General features: G+C 46.3%; 1 long non-coding RNA gene across 1 annotated transcript in view; it reads right to left on the bottom strand.

Annotated features, from left to right (window-relative positions):
• The window catches only part of LINC01411 (long intergenic non-protein coding RNA 1411), a 190,786-nt gene that overhangs the window by 4,301 nt on the left and 180,456 nt on the right, over positions 1-6,029 (bottom strand). The window contains exon 3 of the long non-coding RNA NR_125806.1: positions 4,934-5,080. This is a non-coding gene — a long non-coding RNA (long intergenic non-protein coding RNA 1411). The remainder of the gene's footprint in view (positions 1-4,933; positions 5,081-6,029) is intronic.

Below are 6,029 nucleotides of genomic sequence, written 5' to 3'. Positions count from 1 at the left end.
GACAATATTACTTAAGGCTCCTTGTCCCAGTGTTAGGGATAGAAAGGATAAAATACATGTAAAGGAGCCTGTGAAGTGATGAATGACAGATACACATACAGCCTGCAGTGAGGAGTGAGCAAACACAGAAATGTTTATGGCCAGTGGCTGCTGTGCAGATTATGTGGGTAAAGATCACATTGTACCATGAATGGTCAGGAGTATTGTTATGTAGAGCTCTGGTTTTTCATCAGATTGTGCCTACATAGATGTGTATATACACACACACACACACACACACACACTCTGTCTCTCCTCTCTCTCTCACACACACACACACTCTGTCTCTGTCTTTCTTCTCACACACACACACACACTCTGTCTCTCTTTCTTCTCACACACACACACACACTCTGTCTCTCTGTCTTTCTTCTCTCTCTCACACACACACTCTGTCTCTCTTTCTTCTCTCTCACACACACATGCACACACTCTGTCTCTCTTTCTTCTCTCTCTCTCACACACACACACACTCTGTCTCTCTGTCTTCTCTCTCTCTCTCTCACACACACACACACTGTCTGTCTTCTCTCTCTGTCTCTCTCACACACACACTCTGTCTCTCTTTCTTCTCTCTCACACACACACACACACTGTCTTCTTTCTCACACACACACACACACACTCTCTCTGTCTCTCTGTCTTTCTTCTCTCACACACACACACACACACACTCTGTCTCTCTGTCTTCTCTCTCTCTCTCACACACACACACTCTGTCTCTCTGTCTTCTCTCTCTCACACACACACACACTCTGTCTCTCTTTCTTCTCTCTCTCACACACACACACACTCTGTCTTCTCTCTCACATACACACACACACACTCTGTCTCTCTGTCTTTCTTCTCTCACACACACACTCTGTCTCTCTGTCTTCTCTCTCTCTCTCTCTCACACACACACGCTGTCTCTCTTTCTTCTCTCTCTCACACACACACTGTCTCTCTTTCTTCTCTCTCTCTCACACACACACACACACTCTGTCTCTCTGTCTTTCTTCTCTCTCTCACACACACACTGTCTCTCTTTCTTCTCTCTCTCACACACACACACACACTGTCTCTCTGTCTTTCTTCTCTCTCTCACACACATACACTCTCTCTTTCTTCTCTCTCTCTCTCTCTCACACACACACATACACACACACATACTGTGCAATGCAGTAGAAAAAAATTCCCCAGTACAGGGAAGCATGAGACCCAAGTTTTGGTTCTTCTTTCTGGACTTCAGTGTTCCCATCGATAAAATGATCAGTGGTCACCAGCTGAGGGCTATGGGCCCCATCCTGACTGCAGATGTGTTGATTGATCCAAAGTATTGAAAAACAAAGCATTTAAACATTTACCTACATTAAAAAAAATCAGAGACTTTGCCTAGAAAAAAAAATCTTGTTCCTCACTTGAACAAGATTCTTTTGAAATTCCTAAGGTCTAGCAAAACTGGGTTTGCATTTTCCAAGGCTAAATCTGCCTGGCACTAAGTGGCAGCTGTCCCTCTGAAACCGAGTGTATTCTTGCGTGCAAGCCACAGTCCCCACCATTCCCAAACGCTGCACACCCTATGGGCTTCCCTATTCAATGATGCATCTTACTGCCTGGCCCTGCGGTGACTGTGCCTCCATCCGCACATTAGGAGTGTTTCATTTCTCAGCAGCCAGACCTCAGGCACAGTGCTACCCCCAGGGGCAAACAGATACACAGGGAGAGATAAAAATGGCTATGACTCCTGGAGATGAAAAGTGGCAAGTAAATAATACCAGAATAATTCCACTTCCTGCTGTGATAGAGAACAGGACTCCCAGAAGCCGGATCTTGCACAAGCCCTTTCCTCAGTTTCCCCATCTATAAAATAAGGTAGCTGGAACTAGAATCACCAAGGCTTTTTCAGCCCTTGGGTTCTTTGGTTCTCTCTCTCTTACACACATATGTGAAGGTGCACAATGTGCTGTGTTCTTACACACAAACACATTTCTACATCTTGCTGACAATCTCTTTCCATCTATCGGTTGGAAGCCCTGATTCCGCCTCCAATCTCCTGCACTTCTGACATCACTCCCTCTGCAGGCCTCCTTTATGACTAAATCCAGCCATTAAGCTTCAAATGAGTTACCTGCTGGCATTGTGTAAGGGCAGCCAGCAGATTTAGTCACCTAATCGCCTCTCTTATCAGTGTTCTCTCCCAGCGGGCAGACAACAACACGAGATTGTTCAGCAAGTACCACAAGTCCAGCAGGAGAGGGCTCAGATCCCGCCGCGGAGAGCTGGGGGTCAGGGAGAGGCGGGGAGAGGAGGGACTGTCACTTCTCAGTGGGCGGGATCTGAGAAAGGGTCAGCCGAACAAACGTTTGTTCTCATCCGCAGTGGGGTTCTCAGGACTGTAAGAAAGAGATTTCAAAGATCCTTGAAAGGGTTCGAGTGAGGCCGGGTTCTAATCCTGGCCCTTGGTCCCCTGTGATGTAAAACAAGCCCTTCTTGGGTGGGGCCTGCCTGACCGCCCCTCTATAAAATGCATGCTCATTTCTCACTCCAGATGCCCAGGGATTTTTCACAAAGACTAAAAGGGGGCACCCCAAATCATTTCATATTCCACTTTTCCATTTTCTTTTTGGTCCTTGCAGAAAAGGAGTGACTTTTTAAGAGCCTGGGCATATTAAAAAGTGAAGAGATGCCAAATCAGAGTTACAAATACGGTGATAATAATTTACAATGCATGCTAATAGCCAAGAATATTACAGTGTAATCAAGTTGTACTATGCGTAAGAAAAGGAGTAGCTTTCTTTTTGGAAATATGAAGTGTGATCCGGATGGGGGATGCTGAATGAAAACTTTGAAGTGGGCGTCCTCTTCGTATAATCCATGTGACACAGGTGTTGTGTTTGCTGAGGAGTCTAAATTGGAGGCCTTTGGTGGGTGAGCAGTCTGGGCCTTGAGGCCACCCAGGCTTTTCGGGGACAGGCCAGGATGTCACTGCTCTGACCTGGGCACTGATTAAAGTCCCATGAAATGGCTCCCAGGTAACAATGACCCTCACTTTGAAAGTGACTTTGTCAGAACTAGGCTTAAAGTCCTCTATGCTGAGGCCCACGCTGCTCCTCTCACTCCTTTGTTAAAATCCCAGTTCCTCCTGGGAAGGGCTGCAGAAAAGCGACCTTTAGACACTCACCTTTGAGTGTGAATTAGTTAGTTCATCAGCCCCCTTGCAATGTGGCTGTCTGCTGTTCTCTGTGACACAGAAGCACACTGGATGGCAAGACTTGGCTTGGCTTGACTTGGCTGGGTGGGGAAAAGCCACAGGCTCAGGGGCTGCAAGATCTGGAATCACTTCCGCTCTACTGTTAGCCCTAGGACCTTGCTCAAACTTCTTCACTCCACTTTCTCCACAAGCAAAAATGGAAATAAATATATCCCTCAAAGGGTGACAGTCCAATGAGCTATCCTAGGCATTGAGTTTATAAGAATAAATCTCTGGCTGGGTGCAGTGGCTCATGCCTGTAATCCCAGCACTTTGGGAGGCTGGGGCAGGTGGATCACTTGAGGTCAGGAGTTCGAGACCAGCCTGGTCAACATGGCAAAACCGCGTCTCTATTAAAATTACAAAAATTAGCCGGGCGTGGTTGCGGGCACCTGTAATCCCAGCTACTCGGGAGGCTGAGGCAGGATACTTGCTTGAACCCAGGAGGCGGAGGTTGCATGGAGTAAGCTGAGATCTTGCCACTGTACTCCAGCCTGGGCAACAGAGCAAGACTCCATCTCAAAAATAAATAAACAAATAAGTCTTCATTATTTCCCAGCTCTGTCAGGGAAGCAACCAATCAAGAAATAAATGATTCACACTAAATGGTGGCAACTGTGATGAAAATGATGCAATAGGGGATTTGTAGAGAGGGCTATTGGAATGGGGGAATAACTTAATTTCATGGCAAGGAAACATCTCTTTGAAGAAATGAGGTTTGAGCCAAAGGAGAAGAGCAAAGGGCATCCTGCAATGTGTACGGAATGGATGTCGTAGGAAGGCTCTGGGTGGATGCATGGGGTAGGCGGGTGGGGTGAGGAACAGCAAGGCAGCCCTGTCTTAGCGGAGGACATGGCGGTGGGGAAGCAGAGCCCACATGGCGGGGGGGGAGGGGAAGCAGGGCCTCCTGCGTCATGCTCAGGAATGTGCATTTTATTCTAAACAAGCTAGGAAGCTGCTGGAGGGTATTTAATACTGCAAAAGTTTTTTAAATAGATGGAAGTGCTTTGTAAACTTGAAAGCACAAAGAAAAGTACTATTATTAAAAGTACTATTATTATCATATATGTATAACAACTTTCTGTTGCAGTTAAAACTATTACATTGGCAGAGTTCCCTCAGTGAAAACTTGCAGGAGCAGGATCCTGCGGGACTAGATGTGCGAGGGCTTTGGGGCCACCTCTCAGGCCATGAGCTGCTCAAAGGGAGTGGACAGTCTAGAGCCCAGGCACCCAGGACCCCAGACAGCAGGGGTCTCAGGCAGATGTGGCTTCTCCTACGGCCCTTGTTTCCTCACTTTAGTGGGGCTGGAAGGGCAGAGGCACCCGGTGATTGGTGGATGAACACCCCACAGGGTCTTTGCGCTCCCGGGCCATTGCATTGGTGTTGCTTCTGCCAGAGAAACCACCATCTCTTTGCGGGTTCTCACTTGAATTTGATTTTTCTCTGACTTACCCAGACCATGCATTATCATCAGTTTGCAATCAGTTTGCAATTGTTCTTTTTATTTTTGTTTTTATGGTCTAATTAAGGCTGAACTTCCCCACTTGACTGGCAATTCTGAGTCGAGGGCCATGCTTGAATGTGCTTACTTTTGCAGTCAAGCAGGACAGGCTGAATTATGCTACAACCACAAGCAACCTCCCAGTCCCAGTGACTTACAGCAACGAATATTTATTCCTTGCTCAAGCTCCATGCGTCCATCACAGGTGGGCTGGGGAGCTCTGCTCAGGGTAATCAGTCGGGCACCCAGGCTGATGGATCTGCCTCCTTCTTAGGCAGCTTCTCAATGCCATGCTTCAGGGCTCACTACAGGAGGGGTGGAGTGTTGAGACCAGCAATGAACTTCTTTGGAATGGAAGTGACACCTGTCACTTCACCTCACAACTCCTTGGCCAGAACCAGTCACATGGCCATGCCAAACGTCAAAGGCTGGTGGTAGTAAAGTCTTCCACACTTACGTATCTGGAACCCAGTACTGAAGGATGCAATGCATAATTTTGGAAGTGTTGCAAACTGATCTAAGACAATCTGACCATTCACCAATTACAAGTTTCTTTTGGTAAATATCGGGGGGAGATTGGGGAGGTGGGAACTATGTATTTCTCCCTCCACAGCTTCACTACTGGATAGTAGGGTATAAGGAAAATGAGTCACAGATTGAATTTTGCTACATGTACGACATATGTTAGCAAATGGGTGGGGGGAGGATTTCACTTAATAACAAACAGACACAAACAGTTATGAGTGCCTATAAAATAAGTGAAGTCCTAGCTGTCTGTCATGAGAAGTATTTTTCTGGAAAGATTCACTCCACAGTGTATGCAGCATATTCTCATGGCAAATTTAACTGACCTCATAGTACAACCAGGTGGCTGGAAATGCACCAGACAGAGAGGACCTCAGTGTCTGTACAGTCTATCTGCCCCCCTTCAGTTCTTGGGCAACACTCATTTCACCAAAGAAAAATGATCTCCAACATTCTTTATTCTAGATAAGCAACTGGATATTTGAAGACCCTGTGGACATGGATTCCTAATAAAGGTCCTTCGAATTTTCACTACTTCTGGGTGTAGATAAAATTAATTCACATATAATGGAAAGACAAAATGTGGTATATCCATACAACAGAATACTATACAGGAATAAAAATGAATGAATCACAGATACAAGCAACCACATGGATGAACCTCAGAAACAAGACTCTTCAGTGAAAGAGGCCAGACATAAGAGACCAACCACTCCATTCAGATGGGAT

This window comes from Homo sapiens, chromosome 5, assembly GCF_000001405.40.
Source record: "Homo sapiens chromosome 5, GRCh38.p14 Primary Assembly".
Lineage (NCBI taxonomy): Eukaryota > Metazoa > Chordata > Mammalia > Primates > Hominidae > Homo > Homo sapiens.
The sequence above is the reverse complement of the archived record's forward strand: the minus strand, read 5'-3'. Positions and strand labels throughout refer to the sequence as shown.